The sequence below is a fragment of the Homo sapiens genome, chromosome 15 (assembly GCF_000001405.40).
Source record: "Homo sapiens chromosome 15, GRCh38.p14 Primary Assembly".
NCBI classification, from domain to species: Eukaryota; Metazoa; Chordata; class Mammalia; order Primates; family Hominidae; genus Homo; species Homo sapiens.
The window spans coordinates 87,163,488-87,189,537 of NC_000015.10; the positions used below are offsets into that span (position 1 = coordinate 87,163,488).

At 37.7% G+C, this 26,050-nt stretch overlaps 1 long non-coding RNA gene across 1 annotated transcript in view; it reads left to right on the plus strand.

Moving 5' to 3' along the window:
- Nucleotides 1-15,088, plus strand: part of LOC105370955 (uncharacterized) — a 56,982-nt gene extending 41,894 nt beyond the window's left edge. The window contains exon 3 of the long non-coding RNA XR_932582.2: nt 14,740-15,088. This is a non-coding gene — a long non-coding RNA (uncharacterized LOC105370955). The remainder of the gene's footprint in view (nt 1-14,739) is intronic.
- Nucleotides 15,089-26,050: the final 10,962 nt, after the last annotated feature.

The window sequence follows — 26,050 nt, forward strand, 5'->3', positions numbered from 1 at the left end:
TACTTAGCATCATGAAGCATCAAAATCCTTACCTACAAAGCAGGATAATAATAGGCCTGCTTGGGAGAGTTGTTGAGAAGTTTATTCATTCTATAAGTTAATAAATATAAAGAATTCAGTATGATGCCAGACACAAAGTACTCAGTAATTACTAGCTATTATTTTTATTACTATTTATATTTTATTGATAATGTCAGCAGCAGTGCAGGGAACCTGGCATCTATTTCTAGTATTGTGTGTCAAGGTTGCTGTAAATCTAGAGAATGGCAGCATCTATGCTCTCTTTTCATTGCAATGCCCCCAGTACAGCTAATTTTTTATTGTCTCACCTGGATCAGATCACAGCTGCTAGCATGGCCTCCACTTGCAAGGGCTTCCAGTTTACCATCCAGTTCATTCTCTTTAAATGTTGCAACTATCTTCCTTAAGGACATCTTTGGTTATTTAACACTTCCTTCTGCGATGGTTTCTAAGGGCTCACCAAATAACAGTGAATGCCCTTACCATAACATTTGAGGTCCTCTAAAGTCTAGCCTCAAACTACTATTAGCCTTTAGTTTCCATCATAGGGCTAAAGAGTGGATATAAAGATGCAGCCTCGTGTTGGTGGCATAACAAGTCAGGGAAAGAAGGAAGGGTTTTCCACTTAGCTGAGCGGGGTGATAGGACTACTACTAATGAAGAAAGCAACACTTCTATCATCAACAAAACTTCATTTTTTAAAAGTTAAAAATAATAACTATAAAGAGACTCCTAACACTGTTACCCACTTCTATATTCTAAATGTTTCACTTAACATTCATTAAAAGATATGTCAGAAGCATCCATTTTAGAGAGGCTTTGAAATGTCCAATGAGAAGGTTTATCTTCTCCTCAGTCTCCTTATTCGCTGTGATCTGAGTGTTACAGGTCATTTTTCTCTACCTACCTGATGTGGCACAAGCAACCTCCTCTCTTGATGACCACAAGCACTCCTTGAAATGGTGTGTAGGTCATGCACATGTATTAAAACAAACAAACAGAAAATCTGTAATAATAATATGCTAAAGGATTGTGGGTGGTATCTGGCACTGGGTTAGCAGGCACTCCCCTCCTTACTTCCTGTAATGAAATTCAAATAAAAAATGAAACCTTGTCTGAGTCTGGAGCCTCAAAAGTAAGGGACTGACTATAAGGATAAGTGTGGAGGAAGTGTTTTTGGTCAGGCCACTCTTGCAGTTTGGGGCCACCTGTGAGCTCACAGTCTCTGAGGCTCATTTTGATTGCACTTCCTTCTTTTTAGTTTGGTGGGCTTTCTACCCACACATGGCTTTGGTAAGAAGTAAGGGTCATGTTGGTATGAGGAGGAGGTCATAGGAAAGCAGGAGCTGGAACACCCCCACCTACCTGCCACCTTTCCTACCTAATTTCATAAACCTCACATCGAAGCTTTGAAGGGTCTGCTTTTTTTTTTTTTTTTTCTAATACCTTTGCTAATGTTATTCCCCCGTCTTTGTGCCCTTTCATTCAGCTCTCTCTGCTACATTCATCTTCAGCCTTCAGGGTAATGTTTCTCAAACTTCTGCACCAGTCCTCTCTTCAACTAGTCTATACGTAGGTAGTTATTTGCACAATGGTATCTCATCTCTAATAGTCTGCCGACTCTTTCAATGCAGAGACCCTGCCTCTCTTCAGTTCTCCCACCTCCTGCCCTAGCCCCTAACAATTCTTGAATAGCCAGGTGATTGCAGTCTACTCAGCTCTTTTCCTGAAAACAGTAGGAAAATAAATTGTCAGGAAATATAACAAAAGTCCCTTTCTCAAGTCTCAGAGGTGTTTAGACCAAGTAGTGAAAGAGCTCACAGGTTGTGATAGGCACTGGTTTGATCATTTGTGACAAGCAGCTCTTCTTTAATATCTACTGGTTGCACCCAAGCTGTTATCAGCTCCTCTTCTCCTTGGGGGCTTCTTAGTGTCTATGTGTCCATACAGAACATTACTTTTTATGAGGGAATTTTGCCTGAAACACCAACTCTTTGCAGAGGTGCCTGTTAACTCATAATTCACAGGGATTTGGTCTTCGTCCATGCTCACCCTACCTTTGCCTGACTTTGAAATACTGAGAACTACCCTCAGGCTTGAGTGCTGAATTTGCTGTGGTTGTGGGCACACAACTTGGGTTGTCTTGCTCCTCTTGTGAGGTGTAAGGCTTTTTCCCACTTCCTGTTTCCTGTAGCTTTCCACTGCCTCTGATTTCCAGATGACAGAGTCTCTGCAACTTCTAATAATCCCTTCACTAGGACAAAGCTTGAAAACAAACAGCCCTTTGCACATATTAAGTGCTCAAATAGTTTGTGAAATAGAGTTGAGTTGAAAACCATGTTATCAGTGCTGAAAGAATTTAGTGTTTGGTTCAGGGAAAATAGCCTTACTGGTTGCATAATTAATCAATAGTCTGTTTTTTCATGTGATAAAATGAATTTGAAGAGAAGTCCTTTGACTTTGCAGGATGCAATGAAATCATCTAATTTATTACAAAAATAAATGCATCTGCATCTTCCCTGAGGAAATGATAATGGCACTGGCCCTTGATTTCTCTGGAGTGGAAATGATGTTCAAATCACCTGGTCTTCAGGAAGTATTTTACACCTCCCACCATCCGTGTACTTTCTCACTCTTGCTATATTCCCATGTGGCATCAAGCCCAACGCGTATAACGTGCTTTCTAAACCAGAACATAAAAGTGCTAGATTCCAGACAATGGACAGACTCCTAAGCTTCTTCCAAAGAAAGTGCCCTCTAGTTCTGCACCATTGCTGACATAGAACTCTGATAGTGATAGCCTGTTGTCTTATGTCTTTAAAGTACCTTGTTTGGCCAGTCTAGCCTCTAGTCTATATAAACCATACAGGGTTTATAACAGACTCAGATTTAGAAGAAACCTAACATGTAAATTAATTGAGGGATTTTTCAGATATCTTAAAATAATATGCATTGTCTAAATGAAATACAGGTTAAGTATCCCTTATCTGAAATATGTGGAACCAGAAGTGTTATCAATTTTGGATGTTTTTGAATTTAGAAATATTTGCATATGCATAATGAGATATCTTGGGGATGAGACACAAATCTAAACATGAAATTCATTTATGTTTCATACATATCCCATACACATACCTTAACAGTAATTATATACAATATTTTCAATAATTGTATTTATGAAACAGAGTTTATGTACATTGAACCATCAGAAAGCAAAGGTGTCAGGTCATGGAAGTTTCCATTTATGGCATCATAGGGCGCACTACAGCCTCAAACTTTTGGGCTTACAGGATCCTTCTGGCTCAGCCTCCTGAGCAGCTGAGTCTATAGGTGTGGACCATCACGTCTGGCTCTATATTATGTTTTAAATCATCTCTTCAAACAGAAACAATTCTAGGTAAACAGTAATTCTCCAGGTAGTGTTTCTTGACTTGACCAATTGGCATGATGCCTTCATCTGTTGAGAGCTTTCCATGAACTCAGTATTAGATGGGATCCTACTGTACTGGATGGGACTTCACAGTAATGTCACTTTGTTAGGCTCATCAGAGTCTAAACCACTCTAATTTTGACTCTGAGAACAACATCTTCCATTACTAAAATTATTCATATAAAGTATTCTCCAGAATCAAACAGCTTGTCCCCCACACCCACTAAATTATTTCAATTATATCCTAAGGGTCCATTCCTTCTCTTCTACATATATACAGTGGGTAGTGACTCACTGTGGAAACAATGACAAATGCTCTGCAAACTGCTTAGATAGGAAGATACAAGCCTCCCTTTGCAGAGACTGATAAATGACAGAGGCCAAAGAAGGAGACATGTAGTTGCACAGAGACTGGGGAGATAACAGTATAAGGACAAGATAAACCTCCATCTCTGAGGTAAAGAATGACAATGATTAGGAAGCTGCCTCACTACAGATGGTTCCCCTCATTGCCCTCCAGAGGAACTTATCCACCAACAGTGGGAAGCCCATTACTCATGAAGTGTCCACTTTGAAATGATGTTCAACTCTGCTCCTGGGGATGTAACAAACCACCAACCCCAGCAAAACTTTCTTCCATGAATAACCACAAATATGACGGTTTGGACCAATGTAAGCCCTCACCTACTCACGCAGAAACATAAACTTTGCCTTGAATATCTTCTTTGGAGATGGAAGCACTAGTGGACTGCCCAAGACTTCCTTTAACACCAAAATGGAACTAAGAAGAATTAGCCTAAAATTTTCTGCTGAGCAAGGAGGTTGGAAGAACACACTATCAAGTTATATATAAATTAGTTCTATGTCATCATTGAGCACACTAATGGTGTAGATGTCAGTCAATACCACGGGAAAATACCCATTCAAATGAATCATTCCATATAGTACCCAGTGTAGAAAGAGCTCAGGTGTAACAACAGGGAGGCAGTTCAACTGCCCTGCTTCCTGCTTGACTCTCAGCTGCAGGTAAACACATGCCTGCCTTCCTCTGAGCTGAATCAGAGAATAGATTGAAGGTTTGGCCTGGGAATGAAAAAAGTGAAGAATAAAGATTGGCTGAATGGATGCTCTGAGGTGACTCCTTTCTCTATAGTATCATTGTGAAAATAAGTATTCAGCAGCATCAGAGGAGGAATTTGTTGAAGAAAGAGGATAAAATGAGATTATGTCTGAGAATGGCTGCCAAAATAAAATGGTGCAAAAGTCAAGTTTTTCTATTGAATTTTATTCTTCAGCTTGGGAATTGGCTCACTTAATTATGGAGGCCAAGAAGTCCCATGATCTGCCATCCCCAAGTGGAGAACCAGGAAAGCCACTGCCATAATTCAGCCTAAGTCCAAAGGTCCAAAAACCAGGGGAGCTAATGTTGTAAACCCTGCTGGTTTGGCTTCAAAGGCCTGAGAACCAGGAGCACCAGTGTCCCCAAGCTGGAGGAGACAGAGTGTCCGAGTCAAACAGAAAGAGTAAATTTGCTGTGGTTTCTTTTGTTGTTGTTGTTGTTGTCGTCGTCCTATTCTAGCCCTCAAGGGATTAGATGATGGTCACCCACATTGGTGAAGGTGGATCTTCTGTGCTCTGTCTAGTCATTCAAATGCTAACGTCTTCCAGAAACACTCTCACAAACATAACCAGAAACAATGTTTTACCAGCTATCTAGACATCCCTTTGCCCTGTCAAGTTGATACACAAAAAACCATCATAAGTAGGAATACTTGTGAAGTATATGTAAATATCTCTGAAAACATGGTAACTTGAGTCAAAGTGAAAGTTAAATGAAGGAGTGAGCCAAGCAGTACTCAGGGAGGAGAGTGGCCTTGGCAGAGATACCAGGAATGTCAAGCAAAGCTCAAGAGAAGGGAAGGGTAAGAGAGGCATTAGAGGGAGATCCTGCAGGTCAGAGAGGTCATGGAAGATCTTTAGATTGTATTATGAGTAAGGTGAGCGTCTCTATACTTACAAGCAAAAAAGTGACTGCTGAGAATAACTGAAAAAATGGGATAAGGTCAGAGATAGGATCCACATTCTGGACATCTTGCCCTGTACTTCTGGGTGGCAGAAGACCGCAGAATGTCCATACATTCAGCTTTCCCTGTTAGATGATTCTTTAGACCTCTAGAGCTGACTCCTTACATCCCATTCTCACTGGCTTGCTCAGGCAGGTGAGGTGAGATCTAAAGATAAGTCCTGGGTGTCCTTGCTCCTTGGATCAGTCAGATGAGCCCTGTCTCTTCTGTTGTTCCATCAAAGACCTGTGCACAGACGATGAAGTACAAAGAGTGTTCACTAAAGACAAGAGGTTCCCATGCATGTCACTAACATTACCAGAGCTTATTGTATCCAATAGTTGTTTTTGTCTTCCTAAAATGGACCTGCACACAACAAGGAAGCTGCTTGAACTGGGACAGTCCTTTAGCCTTCCTGTGACTCACAGTGGCATCCTCAATGTCTTGTACTCTACAAGTGTTAATTAAAAGAAACTTGGTGAGAAAAACAAGAGTAATCCTAATGTATCCATTTATTCATCCATCATTTTCCTACATGTGCTTATTAAGCACCTGCTGTGTCCTAAGCAGGGATTTGTACAGTGATGCAGCAGTGAACAGAACAGACAGGTTCTACCTTAATGGAGGAAGAGAGAAACAGTAAAGAATTATATAAACAGTAAGATAATTTCAAACGCTATTATGAAAAAAACATAGAGCATCAAAGACTTAGGACATTGTTTGGGCTGCAGGGTGAAGGCAGCATTAGGTAGCATCATCAGGATCAGTCTCTTCTACTAGTGTTTGGGATCAACCTCGAGTACCAAGAAGAAACCGGACTGGCAAAGATCTGCGGTGATTGCAGCTAGCACAGTTACTGTAGTACCCCAGTGGCCACTGGTGGTTAATAATCCCAGAAACAAGGTTGTTGTGGGTAGGCATACTGAAGTTAATGCAACCACAAAAAGCAAGCAGAAGAGCAAAAATACCCAGTAAGTCCTCTTTTGAGCAAGCCCAAGTGGGAAGTCACGGTTTGTGGCAGTCAACCTCAGGACTGCACTCTCTGAATTGCCCTGATGGCTGCCAGCCTCCTAAGGGCCTTGGCTGTCATGCAGTGACCCTCTGAACTGCTCCTTCCTTCTGCCTTATGCCCCTAGCCTCCAGGCTGTCTGCTCTTCCAGGACCAGCTGCCAAAGTCAGCCTCTGCTCTGGGAAATACTACAGACCATGACCAATCTGTATTTGGGCATAAAGCACCAGATGTGTGCACTGTGACAGTGATGGTTCCAGCTCTGACAGGAGGGCAAAGTTCTCAGGCTGTCTGATTCCATCTCTTTGTATCCTGGGAGATAAGGTAGCCTTTGAGAATATAGAAGAGAACAGATACTAATGCCTTATTTATCTGCTATTGTAGGCAAAGGATGTTTTCCACTTAGGGGGCAATTCCAGGTAACAGAAGTTTATTCCTCTGCCTCCTAATTAAAAAGCAACAACAGCAAAAGACACACTGATTTTATTTGCTTATACGCCATAAAGCATCAAACACACACACACGCGCACGCACACACACACAAACATATTTGTTTTGGTTTAGTCTTGAGCAAGTGGGATTGAAACATTTCTATGATGGGTGACAATCTACCTCCCTGCATTTTCTTAATCTTAATGAACTTAAATGAAACTGCTCTTAATGGCTCGGGGTTATCTGTAAGATTGGAGGATCTAACAAGGTTCAGAAAATGGAACTGGGCTACTAGGTATTTGGAGAGCAACTACCTTCTTTCAGTTTCGTTTTCTTCCCAAATTTTTCAAATTCTCCCCCTTGCTGTTACCTTCCCAGCTATCACTTCTTATTGTTACCACAGTCATTGCTGCAGTATAATCACTCCACCCACCTTTTCTCACTCCCATCCTCCATTCAATCCTAGTCTGTTCTAGGTTTGGCAACTGATTAGAAATGTGCCCAGAATTATTAAATAGTCATATTATGAATGAGAACTTGAGATAAACTTCTATGGAAAAAATGGTACATGATTATGAATGTGAACCCTTTGACGCATATTGATGGATTTTTACCTTGAGCCCAGTGTTGAAAATGCCCCAGATAAGTAGGAAGTGAAGTTTAGAAACGTATTTCTAAATAACAAAAGGAGATTTTGTTATTATTTAATTATGACTTTAATGACCTCTTCTGGGAACCTGCATTTAAATATTTAGGCTGGTAGGTATTACTCAGATATTAGAGCAGATATTATGCCTTTGTATCATAGAAAGAACATTGGACTGGAAGCCATGAAAACTGGTCCTAGTCATTGCTTGGTTACTAAATGCTTGTGTGATGCTGTGAATGCTACCTAACTGATGAACTCTAAAATGGGTCACGTCGTAATAGTCAATCTGCCTCATAAAGTTTCTTTGAAAATGAACTGAGGAAATGAGAGTGGAAAATTCCTTGAAAAACAAAAATACCATAAGCATGAATGTGTATTTGCAGTTAATTATTCTTTCAGTCTCTGTCCTAATTTCTTTCACGGTAATGACTAGTAGAAACCAGAATATTAAAGAAAAAGACGGCCAAGTCAAAAACATAAATGCAAAGCAGTCAAATCAACAATAACGAATAGAAATCATCAGGAAAAAAAAAACACGTTCCTCATAAACAAAGTGATTATTTGATTGTAAATGAGTAGTATGAAAACTGGCATAATTGTGCCATTTTTTTCCAACAAAATTTTAGATAATTTCAACTCTGTTTAAAATGCCACTGATTAGCACACTGGACTAGAAGCTGGGAAAACTGGGTCTCTGCATTGACTTGTGTAAAATAAAGTAGCTGTGCAATCTTGGGAAGATTACTTCCCCTCTGTGGATCTAATTTTTCTGAAGAATGAAGGCATTGCAACAACATTCTTCAACTCTCCCTTTCTTGCTCCTTCTAGGATGTAAAATAAGAGGAGTAGCAAGATCCCCTTTGTCAGGGACATGGGCCATCTGTTGAAGGGAGACTGGGAATTCTGGGGACCAGAGTAGCACGATTTCCCCATCTCTCTGCATGTAGAACAAGGACATCATCCACAGGTTATGAGCTGCTGGAGGGCAGGTACTGTGTCCTGCGTTGGTCAAGCAGTAACGACTTGACACTTCATCAATGACTATCATTAATCAATGCAACAACACCTTTATGGCCCTTTCTTCTATGCTCCGATGGTCATAGTTCAATTAGGAGCACACCAGGTAAACAGTGGGAGGCGGCTAATTTAGTGTGCCCTCAATTGGGTACCCAGAATGGCTGGCACATATATACCCCAATGTATGAGGGGGTCATTCCTACTGGTTTGTTAAATACTTTGGGCGTCATGTTGTCACACATAAGAAGCATCCATGGCTGCCTCATTTTAGATAACCTGGGAGCCATGTACAGGGCACTACCTTAACCAGGTCTCTAGCTAAAATTATTCCTTTAACTTTAATCTTTTTGTGTATGTTTTATAATTGTACATTAGAAAAATGCAAACACTCAAGGTTAATGTATTTAATTAATTTAAAGTGCACAGGTGATAAAATGGATCACCCCTAATTTGTTGGCTAGTGCCAAGGGGTTGTCATGCCAAAAGGTACTTACTAATTTAAAGAATGATTTGGCCCTGTTCTTTGATCTCCAAATCTAATCTCCAGTTCAGATGGAAATCTCAGATGTCCAGCTTATATCAAACACAATCTCTTCTCCCAGAAGAAGACTTGCCTCAATACTTCTCAGCTAAATGGTACTAGAAAAAATGCACACCCATAGAAAAAGCTATGACCTTCAAAGGTCAAGATAATAAAATTAGTAGAGGAGTGATAACCATCTCAGATCACTGTCTCCTGGGTAACCAATGGTCATGTCAGGCTGCTGCAGAAACTAGTTGTTCAGTACTGATTCAGAGACAGGGTTGGATACAGTATAGAAATCCAGAGTTGTTGACAACATTAATTGAGCTGAAGCAGGTCATTTCATTTAATCCTGTTGGGCTTTAGTATCTCTATATGCATAATAAGGCCATTGTTTTAAAAAAGAAAGAATTACACACTTTTGCTTCCACTCTGGACTCTAACATCTAAGTCAGATATTGCTATCTGATGCTAGTACACTTTGATATCTCAGATTCCTTCCCAAGACAGTGCTCTAAGACATTGCTTACCAGTCAAGCAGAATAGACATGTGAGATGTGTATTTGAGATCTTTGATCTAGAGGAGGAGTTGCTTAGATGCAAACAAGTGGAGGCCACTAGTGGCATTGGTGTTACAGGAAATGTTTAGCAAACAATTTTCCAGAAAAAGAAGCACTAGGCAGAGTTGATTTGGTAGCATTCGCCAATTTCCACTGTGTCAGCATTCCCACTGTGGCCATTTGGAGCTAGCAACACATCAATTGTCTTGCAAAATTCTTAACAATTTTACAGAAGACTCCTGTTGTCCACTCTAAGTCAGCTCCACCACACTTCTGGTAGTGGCCTCCTGGCTGAGTTGTAGTAGAATCTGTAAACTCAATGAAATTCAATGCAAAAGTTGTATATAATCATCTACATTTTTCTGTGTAGCTGGCCCGGAATTTTTATGAGATGTATCATGAGTTCATGGTCCCAAATGGGTTAAAAAACACTACCTAGAAGATATCTAAGGAAGATATTACAATTAATAGCTGGTTCAATTCTCCTTCTTACTTGCCCCCCTTGTAGTTAAGAAGGCCATGTAACTAATTCTGGGAGGTGATCCATGAGCACACGTGACATCTGTCACTTCCAAGGCTAAGCTGTGCATTTTGAATCTGTTTGCCTGGGTTTCTGGGTAACTACATGGAACAGAGGCCCTGCTAATCCACAATAGGTAATAACATAGTAAGAAATAAATCTTAAGCCAGAATAGATGAATGACAAGCAGATTGAAGTAGTAATTTAAAAACCTTCCAACAAAGAAAAACCCAGGACCAGATGGCTTTACAGCTGAATTCTACCACACTTTCAAAAAATAATTAATATTAATACTTCTTAAACTCTTTCAAAAAATAAAGCTGTAAGGAATACTTTCTAACACATTTTGTGAGGAACAAATCACCTTGACATTTTAGGCCCAGGCAAAGGTACCAGAAGAAAACTGCAGGCCAATATCTCTGATGAATATTGTTGCAAAAGTCCTCAACAAAAAATTTGCAAATTGAATTCAACAACAGATTAAAAAAGATTATACATCATGATCAAGTAGAATGTAGCCCTTTCATGCAAGACTGGCTTAACATACATAAATCAATCACATTAATAGACTAAAAGACATAAATCAAATATGATATCAAATTGATTTAGAAAAACATTTGACAAAACTCCACATACTTTCTTGTGAAAACTCTTAAAATGTTGGGTATAGATAGTTTCTGCTATAGTTTGGATGTCTGTTCTCCCAAACCTCATGCTGAATTTGATTCCAATGTTGGAGGTGGGGCCCTAATGGGAGGTGTTTGGGTCACGGGGTCAGATTCCTCAAAAATAGATTAATGTCCTCCTTTGGGGAGGGGGTGAATGAGTTCTCACTCTGTAAATTCCTCTATGAGGTGGTTTTTATAAACAACCTGGCATCTTCCCCTTCTCTCTCTTTCTTCCTCTGTTGTCATGTGATCTCTGCACACACTGGCTCCGCTTCCCTTCTACCATGATTGGAAACAGCTTGAGGCCCTCACCAGATGAAGATACTGGCACCATGCTTCTTGTCCAGCCTGCAGACCCATGAGACAAATAAATCTCTGTTCTTCATAAATACCCAGCCTTAGGTATTCCTCTATAGTGACACTAGATGGACCAAGACAGTTTGTTAACATAATATAGACCATTTATGAAAAACTCACAGCTAACATGATAATCATAGAGAAAACTGAAAGCTTGTCCTGTAAGGTCTGAAACAAGACAGGAAGGCCTATTCTTGAACTTCTATTCCACAGAGTACTAAAATACCATCAAGGGTAATTAGACAAGAAAAATAAATAAAAGGTATCCAAAACAGAAAGGAAGAGGTAAAATTATCTTTCTCAGATAATATTACATGATCCTATATCTAGAAAACCCCAAAGCCTCCACCAAAAAACTGCTATGTTAGATCTGATAAATGAATGCAGTAACATTGCAGAATATAAAGTCAACATACAAAAATCCATGGCTTTTCTATATACAAATGGCAATGTAGCCAAAAAAATCAAGAAACAATCCCATTCACAATAGCATCAAAAATAATATACTTAGGAATAAATTTAACCAAGGAGGTGAAAGACCTGTACACTGAAAACTAGAGAATATGGGCGAAATAAATTAAAAAGGACAAATATAAATGAAAATATATTCCATGCTTGTGTATTGAAAGAATATTGTTAAAATGTCCATAGTACCTGAAATAATACATAGATTCCATGCAATGCCTATCAAAATTCCAATGGCATTCTTCATAGAAATAGAAAAAATAATCCTAAAATTCATATGGAACCACAAAAGACTCCAAATGGCTAATGAAATTCTGAAGGAAAATAGAAACGATACAAAGTTTAAGAAATCACACTTCCTAATTAAAATTATATCACAAAGCTATAGTAATCAAAACAGTAGCAAAAACAGACACATAGACCATGGAAGAGAAGAGAGATCCCAGAAGTACATTTAACCATATATGGCCAATTAATTTTTGATAAGGGCACAGAAAGACACAATGAGGAAAACATAGTCTATTCAATAAATGTTGCTGGGGAAACTAGATTTTTATATGCAAAATGTAAATGGAAACTTTCTCTTACACTATACGTAAAACTCAACTCAGGTTGGATAAAAGACTTAAACATAAAACCTGGAACCATAAAACTCCTTGAAGAAAACATAGGGGAAAATCTCCTTGACATTGGCCTTGGCAATGATTTTCTGGCTACAACACCAAAAGCTCAGGCTATAAAAGCAAAAATAAATAAATGGAACTACATCAAACTAAAAAACTTCTGCACAACAAAGTAAAGAATGAAATGAAAAGGCAACCTATGTATTGGAAAACAATATTTGCAAACCATATATCAGATAAGGGATTAATATCCAGGATTTATAAAAACTCATACAACTCAATATTAAGAAAACATATAACCTGATTAAAAAGTAGCCAATGGACTTGAATATGTATTTCTCTAAAGACACCATTAAATGGGCAATGGGTACATGAGAAGGTTTTCAACCTCACTAATTATCAGAGAAATGCAAATCAAAACCACTATGAGCTACAACATCACACTTGTTAGAATAGCTATTGTCAAACAAAGAATAGATAACAAGTTTTGGCGAGGATGTAGAGAAAAGGAAACCCTTGTACACTGTTTGAAATGTAGCTTGGTGTGGCCAATGGAAAAGTGTGTGGAGATTTCTAAAAAAATTAAGAGTAGAACTACCTATGATTCAGCAATTCATCTTCTGGGTACATATCCAAAAGAAATGAAATCACCATCTCATAAACTTATCCACAATGCATCAAAATTCACAATAGTCAAGATATGGAAATAACCTAGTTGTCTATCGATGAATGAATGGATAAAGAAACTATGGTACAGATACACAATGGAATATTATGCAGCCTTAAAAAGGGTGGAGATGCTGACATCTGCCCCAACGTAAATGGACCTGAAGGACATTGTGCTAATTTAAATAAGCAGATCACAGAAAGAAAAAATATTGCATGACTTCACTTATATGTGGTATCTAAAAAAAAGAAAAAAAAGAAAAAAAAAGAAAGAACAGAAAATGAAAGGGAGAAAAAAAGTCAAACATACAGAGATAGAGAATATAGAGAATCATGACTATGGCCACAGTTGGGGGAGAAAATGGGGAGATGCAGTTCAAAGGATAAAAGGCAGCAAATATATAGAATAAACAAGCTGAAAAATCTAACTTATAACATGATGGCTATAGTTAATAACAGTGTATTGTGTTGGAGTTTTGCTCAATGACTAGATTATTGCTGCTTTTGACATGGAAGGCAGTGATGGGTAAATGTATGAGATAATGGACATATTAATCTGTTCCACTGTAGTATATGTGTAGCTTAAAACAACATGTCATATACCTTAAATATAAACAAAAGTAACTTTATTTAAAGAAAAAACAGCTGATACTGTTAAGTCACCTAGATTGGAGGGTGAATGTGATACCACAGCAAAGTCTAGATGATTGTAAACAATACAATTAATAATGTGCTTTCCGGACCTTAAATTACATAAACTTGAATAAATTATCTGAGATGTTACAGTTGGAATCCTAAATTGAATTATTATTCCATGAATAATCCTTTCTTGGAAAAGCTCTGCCCTCAGCTGTCATCTGAGGCCCATAGTCTAACCTTAGATAATTTTACTTTCCTTACGAGTTATAACTTTCTTCAAGTTTACTTTTCAAGCAGCCAGACCGGACAGTGGGACCACTGTGCCCCATGAAGGACATGGGTTATTATTTATTGAGAACTCCTATCACATGCCTTGCACTTTATCTATTTAGGAAACATTCGCAGTGTACATCAGAACATATCAATAGCACCTTTGGTGAGTGCTATGTACCACATGTTCAGAGGTTGATCAACCAAGCAGACTTGGCCTTAGATACTTATGAGAAAGGCAGTTATTTGTGATTTAATTTGAGAGACTCTATGTATGCTCCCAGGACATAGACAACTTCCCAATGAGTTTATAACCCACCCTAAAGTTCTACCATTGAAATTATATCCCTTTGTCCAATTTAAAAATATAAATTACCCTGGGAAGGACATAAATCAATCACAAGTCACTCCCATCATTGAGGGAAAGTGACACTTGAGAGAATTATTTTTTGTAAGTTGGGTGAGGGCAATGTATTAAAAACCTGGAGCTTTTGTGAGAGAAGAGAAAAAGGTGAGGGAAAAAAGGGGTCACTTGGGAGTGAGAACATGCCTGGAAAACCCACCTTTAAATCCCTCAGAAATGCATGAATTAGTAAAAGAAGGTACAATTATCACTGACATTTTACATGTGAGAAAAAGAATGGAAGTTGGAGCAGCTAAATGTCTTGTCTTAGGTAACACAGCTTATAAGTGATAAAGAATTGACTTAAACCCAGGGCGAATATGATACTACCATTGTTGCTATCATTGTTTATTCCTAATACACAATATTTTTCCTTTTTCATTTATTCTACCTCTAACATGTAGAAACAATCTTCTTTTTCCAGATTTCATTTCATCTAGAATTCATGGACCATAAGGGCTCCCGAAGAAAAGTCAGAAGCAACATTGCTTAGTATATGGCAGAGATCAAACTATGGCCGAGGACTAGCTTGGGACTGCCTGTGCTTCTCATTCCTGTCTGAGGAAAGGTGGGGAGGGCTCAGAAGTGCACAGAGAGAAGGTGTTCGATATTGTATAATGTTTGACCTGCAGCCATCTGTTCACTCAACTTATGCATTTACTTTTGTTCAAGCAACAAATATCTCTGGCTTCCCTACTATGCCAGACACTCTCCTATATACAGAGGTGGAGAAAATAAACTCTGTTCTCATGGAGTTAACAGTGTGAAGGGAGAGAAACAACAAGGAATAAATGAATAAATAAAATGCATTTGTGGCAAATGCTATGAAAGGAAAAATAGTACCTTGTGAAATGAAGCTCTTCGATGAAAACTTCTAATGCAGGGGTGGATGGTACTGGCATGTAATCCCCACATTTTTTTTTTTTTTTTTGGTTGAGAACAATATTTCCACCACTCAGCGACAACCCTGAACTCCAACAAACCCTGTAGAAACAAAACAAGAAGAGGGCAAAATCAAGTTTGTCACAGGGATACACATAGACGTCTCACAGCGGGAATTTAAAACCCTGGTTTCTCAGGGGACTGTCTTTATATTCACCACCAGAGCACCTGATGGGGTAAAACAAAGTAGGTGATAACTATCATGGATTTGGCACAACTGGGGACAGTGATAGAGTCTGCACTTGTCAACAAGATAGACAAGAAAACTGGGCACGATTTTGACCAAAGAGAGCTAAGAAGGGCGAGTTACAGGGATCAGAAAAACAGGGTAATGATGACCAAGTGCACGTGTCTGTAATGTTTTCTTATTCCCTGGTAACCTTATGACATAGTTCTAATTCAACCACAAATATAACAGAGGAGCATGAGCCTATAATATGTCACGTATTTTATTATGTTTTATTATATGCCACATTAAGTCTGTATTTGTGGCCAAAAACATAAAATAGCACTGCTTTTAGACACAGCAAGATTATATACTCCTACAGGAAAAGAGCTTTGGAAAGTTCATCTAATCTTCTTTGTTTTCCAATTTGAAGCAGAGATGAATAACTGAAAGCTTTCAATGTGGACATCAGTGAGGACATTTCTCCAGGACCTTTGCCTGAAAGACTTACCTGGGATTCCTAGAGTTTTAATTATTCATTCTTAGTAGGCCATAGGGGTCAGCCTGTATAGAGAATCTGAAAACCAGAACAAGATTAGAAGGTGGTATCAGACTACTGTATATAGCAGAGTTTCCACAGTCAAACATAAGGCTTGAAATCCAAGCTTAACTAATTGCTATGTGAACTTTGGCCAATTACTCAAGCACTATATTAGTCAGGACCTAACTGGGATTCAGATGCCACATGAATATTTAAGCAGAATGACTTTAATGCAGAATTTGCACAGGTGATGAACCAGCTTAGAAGCCTAATAGAAGATAGCAATTCTGACATTAGCAATAGCACGAGCCACCACTCCCTTAGACCAGAGGGAAAAGAGGGAGGGAGTGGTGATGCTACAGCTAGAAGACTAGGATTATTTCAGAAGCTGGCTCCATGGCAGGTCTCATTGTCAGAAGCTGAAACCAAAGAAGAGATGTAGACGCTGCAAGGGACACAGACAGAAACAAGGGGGTAGAAAGATCTGCCTCCCTTCTATTGGCTACCCCAATCTCTCTTCAGTGTCTGCAAATGACCAAATCAAGCCAGAAATTCACTGACACAGAAGCCTGGAGAACACAGGCTGAAGGTGTCAGCTGTCCTGCAATATAGAGCTCAGCTCAATGTGGGCACGTGATCCTGAGGTTGTTATTCTTAAAACCGTCATTGTCAAGAAATATTTAAAATGTAGTCAGTGGTATGCTGATAAATGTATAACAATTGACTTTCCTTGGGGAGAGCCCTGACTTGCGTAGCTGGTTCCTATGGTGTGGATACTTTCATCATGTCTAATTTCCAACTGCCTATGTGAAGGCACTGAACATGGCACTGTGAAGATTGGCTCATACACGTGGGTATAAGTTGGCTCTAGAACAACACTGAAAGTAGGCATATAAAGAAAATAGCAGAAATACTCTACAGATCCAGTAGAAAAAAAAAATGCCACTACTAGTGGTTGAAAATTGCAGGGAAATAGGGTTTGGGGCTCTCTTTAACAAAAACTACTAAAATTTGGACTATCCCCTTGTGAGTCCATATATTCTTCACAATTGGGGCCACATTCACTAGATACCTGGTAATTCTTTACAGATATTTTTTACAAACTCTGTATTGCACAGCCTTGATGGTTCATGTGTTTGCTATCCAGAGAGGAATCCCAAACTTCTATATTGTTTTGGAGCCAGGTTGTAATCCCTTGTCTATATAACTTTTCCTGACATTGGAGAGGTGACTCTCAATAGGAATTGTTTTGCATCTCATTTTTGATGCTATCTTGATGCTTCCTCTTTTCCTTCCTTCAGTTTATATCAGACTGTTTCTCCCCGCATGTCTCATTACCTTTGTCATCTTGTCATTGAACAAAGCAAGGGGAAACTAACATAGCTCTTCAGAGTGCTTATGCTTGGGTTTCTGATTTCTGACTCTATGGTTATGTGAAAGCCCTACAGCCATCAATAGACTAGTCAATTCTTCTAAGGAGCAATCCACAGACTTGTTGAATTACTATTGCTTTCGACAATTTAGGAGGCAATCTCTTGGGCACACATCAATCCTTGTACCTTAGTGTGGGATTGGCAAGTCTGAAAACATGCTAGAGAATGCACACCTGGTATCTGGAAATACAAATATTCTAATATATGGTCAAATTTATATGAGTAAAATATCCTTAGCAAAATGTGTCTCTTTTATTTTCTCTGTTTTACATATTGTGTTGGAATCAATCAAGAGTTAGCCCATTTATTTATTTGCACTTTTAAAAATATTGAAGAATATATGCAAAGTTCAGTTCAAGGACCAGAGGATGTAATGGTGAAAAGAAAGTGATTCTCATTCTCATTATGCCTTCAAGATGTCCTTAGTCTAGTAGAATAGAAGATACTAAGAACTGACAATTATATTCAATAGTATTGGTATTAAGGAGGGGTAAGCCTCAGGTGCTCTAGGAGCACTAAGGAAAGGTAGCCTGGGAGATCACCCAGGAGAAGAAATGACTAAGTAAAGATCCAAAATATGTGTAAATGATAGCAAGAATGGAGGAAAGACTATTTCAGGTAAAGCTAATAGATTGTGCAAAAGGCAGAAATGAAAGAGAATCAGAGAGGGACTTCCACTTCTGGCTAGGTGCTAGATATACTTCCTACCTGAAACAACCAAAAAACCTGGAAAAATATATGAAATTATGATTTGTGACACACTGGCCCTCAAGCAACAAAGGACAGTGATCCCTGAGAAATGGGAAACAAATGAGAAAAACTATGCAATTGCCTCAGTTTATGGTCTTGAACCATTTTAGCAAAGGGAGGGGAAAACAAGGCAGAGACACGTAGACTAGATATTGAGGAGTCACAGTTGAGGGTCCAGGGCCGCTAATGTGGGTTGAGTTCACTGGAAAGCGTACTAGAGAGGAGAGTGATGCCCAGAAAGAAAGAACTACAGAGATATGCAGAGTGTCTCCTTGAGGAAGCAGCAGAGTACTGGTTAGCACATGTGTGTAAAAAAACTAACCAAGGCCAGGAATATCACTACCTAAATAAATTACAGGGAGCAGTACTGACTGCTCCAACAGAGCCAAAAATATGCAGACTGGAAAGCCTTTTATTTCATGGAGCATTATTTAGAATACTCAGAAGAATCTTGCATTAGTAGTGGGAAATAGTTATCTCTACACTAAATTCCATTCTGGCCACTATCAACAAATCTTAAAAACAAGCTCTAAAGGACCAAATTATGTCCAAGTAACTTTACTCCATCTCTTCTGAAGAAAACTGAAGAATATTTATAGGAACATAAAAATATCCAGCAGCCAATAAAGCAAAATCCACAATGTCTTGCACCCAAACAAATACTAATCAAGCATGATGCAGGAAAATATGATGCATAATGGGGAGAAAAATCAATGAATCGAAACTGATGGCAAACAGAAACAAGTGTTAGACTGGGAACACAAATAGTTATAATAATTATATTCCATATAAGCTAAAACTTAAACATAAAAATATATTTTTAAAACTATTTAAACTAGATTTCTAGATATGAAAACTAAAATGCATGAAATGAAAAATACACTGGATAAGAAGTGGCAGAAATAAGATAAGACATCATGATAAAAGTGGTTATTGAACAATTGGACAGGTTTACATGGCTTAATACAGTGCAATTGGAGTCCCTAACAGAGCAGACTGGGGGAGGTATTTAAAGAAAATGGGTGAAAACTTTTCAAACTTGGTAAAACCTATAAACCACAGACCCAAGAAACTCAACAAACTAGAAGCACAAGAAAAATAAAGAAAAGTACACATGCATCATAGTCAAATTGCTCAAAAGCAATGTAAAGAGAAAAGTTTCGTAGCAGGCAGAGAAAACAAAGAGGAACAAGGAAAAGAATGAGAGCTAATTTATCTTCAAAAACACTGCAGAGGAGAATGAAGCAATATTGTTTAAAGTATTAAAAGAAATAAAAAACTGTCAGCCTAGAATTTTATATCCAATGAAAATAGCTTTCAAAACCGAAGGCAAATACTTTTTCAGACATGCAAAAGCTAAGAGAACTCAACACCAACTGACTCTCAATATAATAAATGTTAAAGAGATTTCTTCAAGCAGAAGAGAAATAATAGCAGATTAAATATGGATCTCTGCAAAAAATGAAGAACACTAGAAATGGTAACTACATGGGTAAAGAGAAAACATTTTTTAAAAATGTTAATATATGTTTTAAATTGTCTGCTCAAATTAAAATAATAATATGGTATTTAAAATACAAACACACACACACACACACATGTCTGCACACATATATGTAAAATGCTAGACAACAATATCCCAAGGTCAGGAGGGGTAAAATGGAAGTATGCCACTGTAAGGTTATTTTATTATATGTTAAGTGGTACAATATCACTTGAAAGTAGGAAGTTATAAGTTAAATATATATGTGTGTATATATATACATATAGTATATTCTAAAGAAATAATTAAAATAACAAAATCAAGAGTTGTAGCCATGAATTAACCAAAAAACCTAATAATAGAAAATAATACAAAAAAAGACCAAAACAGAACAAGGAACAGATAAGGCAAACAGAATTCGAATAGCAAGATGATAAAATTAAACTTATCAATGATCACATTAAGGGTGACTAGGGTAAATATCCCAATTAAAAGGTGGAGATTATCACATTTTATTTTTATATAAAAGAGTGTATCAACTATATGCTTCTTAAAAGGAATACACTTTAAATATAAAAACTCAAATCGATGAAAAACAAAAGGATGATAAAACATATATAATGCTAATTCTAGTCCAGAAAAATGGAATGTCTATATTATATCAGACGAAGTCAATTTTTAATTTTTCTTTTTTGAGACAGGGTCTCGCTCTGTTGCTCTGAAGTGTGTGGGTCACTGCAGCCTTGACCTCTTGGGCTCAAGTGATCCTCCCACCTCAGCTTCCCAAGTAGCTGGGACAAAAGGCAAGAGCCACCATGCTCCGCTATTTTTTTATTTATTAGAAACAGGGTCTCACTATGTTGCCCAGGCTGGTCGTAAACTCCCAGGCTCAAGTGATCCTCCCACCTTGGCCTCCCAAAGTTCTGAGATTACAGGCATGAGCCACTGCACCTGGCCTAGAGAAAGTCGATTTTATAGCACTGAATATTATCATAGACCAAGGAGTCACTCATAATGATGACTGTATTAATTCATCAAGAGCATATAATCATCCTAAATCTTTTTAGAATTTCCAAGAAAAAAAGCAAATCTACAGTTTATTGTCAAAGATTTCAACATCCTCTCTTAATATTTAATAGACCGATAGAAACCTAAGTAAGGATACAGAAGATTTGAATAACACTATCAACTAGCTAATCTAATTGCTATTTATAGAACATTACACCCAACAACAGCAGAATACATATTATTTTGAAGCAAACAGAGAGCACTTATAGATCATACTCTAGATCATAAAATATCTTAATACACTGAAAAGAATTTAGTATACACACTGTAATAGAATTTAATTAGATATAATTAACATAAAAGTTTCTGAGAAATTCTCAAATATATGAAAACCAAATAAAATATTTATTAATAACTCTTGGGCTAAAGAAAGCAAAAGAGAAAATAAAGTATTTTTTACAAATAAAAACTGAAAACACAACAGTGCTTATGGAAAATGTATAGCACTACATGCCTTTGTTAGTAAAAAAGAAAATATTCCCAATCAATTATCTCAGTTTCTATTTTAAGAAATCAGAAAAATAGAAGCAAGTTAATTCCAAATAAGTGTAAAAAAGGAAATAATTTTAAAAAACAGAAATAAGTGAAATAGAAAACAGAAAAAAAAAACAGAGGAAATCAATGCAGCCAAATGACATATTTAAAAAGAGAGAGAGAAAGAGATCAGTATATTGATATAACTGTGGCCAGCCTGTTCAGGAAAATAAGAGAGAACACAAATTAACAATATCACAAATGAGAGTGCTGGCGTCACTGAAGTTTCTACAGATATTAAAAGGATAATAAGAAAATATTTTATAATCTTATGAATTAATTTAACAACTTAGATGACATGGATGGATTCCATAAAAGACAAATTACTTGAGCACATTCAAGAAAAAGTAAATAACATAAATTGCCTTATATCATTTAAAAACAATTGGATGTGTAGTTAAATACATCTTTTCTCTCCTTTCTCTCATTCTTCCCTTGAGGAATATCCCAGTCTCGGGTGGCTTCAATGATAAATTCTACCAAATATTTGAAGATAAAATAATACAAATTCTATGTAAGCTCTTCCAGAAAACTGAAGAAATCCTTACCAACTAATTCCATGAGGACAGTATTGCTCTGATACTCAAACCAGACAAAAATATTACAAGAAGATAACACTACAGATTAGTATTTCTCATCTTCGCAAATAAAAAATGTTTTAAAGAAAATTTCAGTAGATCAACACAACAGTATATAAAAATAATAGTATATCATGATCAAGTGAGGATGTATGCCAAGAATGCAAGGTCTGGTTAACATTCAAATATTAATCAATGCAATTTGCCATAAACTAAAAAACAGAAGAGCAACTGATTATCTCAGTAAATTCTGGGGAAAAAAGAATATGGGAAATTAAGAGAAAAGAAAATGAGAAATTCCTGATTTTAAAAAACACAACAACAACTCTCAGAAAACCAGAAATAGAAAGAAACTTCCTCAATATGATAATGGACATTTAAAAAACAAACAAACAAATACATAGGTAGCATCATACAAAATAGTGCAAGACTGAATATTTTATTGAAAACAAGACAAGAATGGTTGCTCTCCAACTTCCTACTCAATATTTAATTGGAGGTAACATATAGTATAATAAGGCAAGAAAAATAAATAAAATGTCCCCAGACTGGAAAGAAACATGAAATTTTCTTTACTTACAGATAACATGATCGTCTATGTAGAAAATCTGGTAGAACCTTCAAAATCACTCTTAGAACCCATATTTGAGTTGAGCAAGGCTGCATAATACAAGATCAATGTACAAAAGCCAATCATGTTTCAATAAAACACAAAAAATATGAAATTGAAATTTTTAAAAATATCTTTCACATTATTTAAAAATATAAAATATTTAGGGATAAATCTGACAAAAATGTACAGGCATATACACTAAAATTATGACATTGCTGACAGACATCAGAGACAACTTAAATACATTGTGATATATATAGCATTTATGAGTCAGAACCATTACCCCAGTAGTGTTTTACTTTGGTGTGGGAGGAGTAGAAATTGAAAGTCTTATTCTGAATGTATGGGTATGCATAGATTTTAAAATAGCTAAAATAACTTTGAAAAAGAACAAATTTGAAGGACTAGTATGACCAGATTTCAAGAGTTATAAAACTATATAAACAGAGTGTGGTATCAATATGAAGCTAGAGAAATCAGTTTATGAAACAGAAATAAAGCCACACGTATATGGACAACTAATTTAAAACAAAGTTGCCAAAGGCAATTCAATGAGGAAGGAATACTCTTTAATAAATGATGCTGGCACAATTAGATATCCATATATAAAAGCGAACTTCAATACATACCTCACAGAGATATGAAAATTAAATCAAAATGGATCATAGACCTAAATGTAAAATCTAAAACAATAAAATACAGAAGGAAACTTTTGTGACCTTGGGTTAGGAAATAATTTTTTAAATAGGACACCAAAAGAACAATCTACAAAATTAAAAAAAAAAAAAAAAACTAGTGTTGTAGACTGAGAGTTTTTGCCTCTCAAAATTCATATGTAGAATCCTTAACCCTCAGTGTGGCTGTATTTGGAGATGAGACTTATATGGAAGTAATTAAGTTTAAATGAGATTGTAAGGGTGCAACACTGATCCAATAGGATTGGTGTCTTTATTAGAAGAGACACCAGAGCACTCTCTCACTCCTTCTCCCTGCCTCCGCCCCCTGCCATACACAGACATTCACTGAGGAATGGCCCTGAGAGCACACAGGGATATTGTGGACATCTGCAACCCAAGAGGACAGCCTTCACCCTGCACCTACTCTACTACCACCTCGATCTTGGACTTCTGACCTCCAGAACTGTGAGAAAAATTCTGTTGGATAAGCCTCTCAGTCTGTGGTATTTTGTTACAGTAACCCAAGCCGACTAAGATACTTGATAATTCAGTCTTCATCAAAATTAAAAACTGCTCTTCACAAGGCACTGCTAAGAAAATGAAAGATAAGTTACAGAATGAGAAAAAATATTTTCTAATTCTACATCTAATAAAAAACTGGTATCTAGAATATGTGAAGAATTCCTACAACTGAATTATATGACATAAACAACCTAATAAGTAAATGGACAAAACATTTGAAAAGATACTGCACCAGAAAGAGATAGGTGGCAAATAAGTGCATGAAATACAATTCATCATTAGAGAAATGCAAATGAAATACACAATATGATATCAATACACTACTATCAGAATAGGTAATTTTTTTTTTTTTTTTGAGACAGAGTTTTGCTCTGTCGCCCAGGCTGGAGTGCAGTGGAGTGATGTCGGCTCACTACAAGCTCTGCCTCCCGGGTTCACGCTATTCTCCTGCCTCAGCCTCCCAAGTAGCTGGGACTACAGGCACCTGCTACCAAGCCCGGCTAATTTTTTTTTTTTTTTTTTAGTAGAGACAGGGTTTCACTGTGTTAGCCAGGATGATCTTGATCTCCTGACCTCGTGATCCGCCTGCCTCGGCCTCCCAAAGTCCTGGGATTACTGGCGTGAGCCACCGCGCCCTGCCCAGAATATGTAAAATTTTAAAAAATGATGGACTCTATCAGATGTTCACTTGGCAAGGATGTGGAGGAACTAGAAATCTCAAAAAACTACTGCTAGGAATAAAAAATGGTACAACCACTCTGGAAAACAGTTCGGCAGTTTCTTGAAACATCAAACACATAAGATGAGATAATACTGGAGTGGGGTGGGCCCCTAATCCAACATGACTGGTGTCTTTATAAAGAAGAAAAAATGTGGGCCAGGCGCGATGGCTCATGCCTGCAATCCCAACACTTTGAGAGGCCGAGGAGAGCGGATCACAGAGTCAGGAGTGAGAGATGAACCTGGCCAACATGGGGAAACCCCGTCTCTACTAAAAATATAAAAATTAGCTGGGCATGGTGGTGGGCTCCTGTAATTCCAGCTACTGGGGAAGCCGAAACAAGATAATTGTTTGAACCCGGGAGGCGGAGGTTGCTGTGAGCTGAGATCGCGCCATTGTTCTCCAACCTGGGCAACAAGAGCGAATCTCTGTCTCAAAAAAAAAAAAAAAAAAAAAAAAAGGAAAAATGTGGACACACACAGAGGGAGAAAGGCATGTGAAAATGAAGGTAGAGATGGGGACGATCCTTCTACAGGCCAAAAAATGGCTAAGATTGCAAGTAAACTATAACAAGCCAGAAAAGAGGCAAGAACAGATTCTCACTCATAGCCTTCAGAAGGAATCAATCCTCCTGACACCTTGATCTTTAAACTTTTAGCCTCCAAAACTGAGACAATATATTTCTGTTCTTTAACCCAGAAAAAAAATGAACATAAATCTATATACATCTACCATATGATCCAGTGATTCCACTCCTAGATGTTGAGTCAAGAGAAATGAAAGAATGTGTCCATACAGAGACGTGTAAACAAATGATCCTAAGCAGCCTCATCTGTAATTTCCCAGAAGTGAAAGCAACTGGGGAATGGATTAATAAATAATAGTATATCTACACAAGGGAATACTATCAGCAATAAAAACGGATGATACACTGATAATACAAAATAACATGGATGAATCCAAAACTAATTATGCTGAGTGAAAGGAGCCAGACAACGAAGGTCTGCAAATGCATAATTTATATAAAACTCTAGGAAACTCAGACTAATCTATAGTGACAATGAGCAGAACAGTGGTTTCTCGGTGTGGGGAAGAAGGACAGGCAGGGGGCAAGAATATGGAACAGGAGGAGACTTTTCAGGATAATTGCTATGTTCACTCTCTGTGATGGTTTCACAGGGGTATACAGATGTCAAAACTTATCAAATTGTCTGTTTTAAACAGGTATACTTTATTATAAATTATACCTCAATAAAGCTGTTCTCAAAGAGAGGCACAGAGAGAGAAAGAGGATTGGATGAACTGCAAGTCAAGCTGTTTAGCTGAGCATATGCTGCAGAAGAGAAATAGCTGAAGGGGAATTGGGGCCAGGAAGTGAAAAGTCCTTGCAAGCTGTGAGGAGAAGTTTGCACTTATACTGCTAAAAACAAAAGAAGTCTTGTAGCATTTAAAAGTATGTGTGTGGCTGGGCGCGGTGACTCATGCCTGTAATCCCAGCACTTTGGGAGTCCAAGGCGGGCAGATCACGAGGTCAGGAGATCAAGACCATTCTGGCCAACATGGTGAAACCCCGTCTGTACTAAAAATAAAAAAAAAGTAGCCGAGCGTGGTGACGTGCGCCTGTAGTCCCAGCTACTTGGGAGGCTGAGGCAGGAGAATCGCTTGAACCTGGGAGGCAGAGGCTGCAGTGACCCGAGATCGCACCAC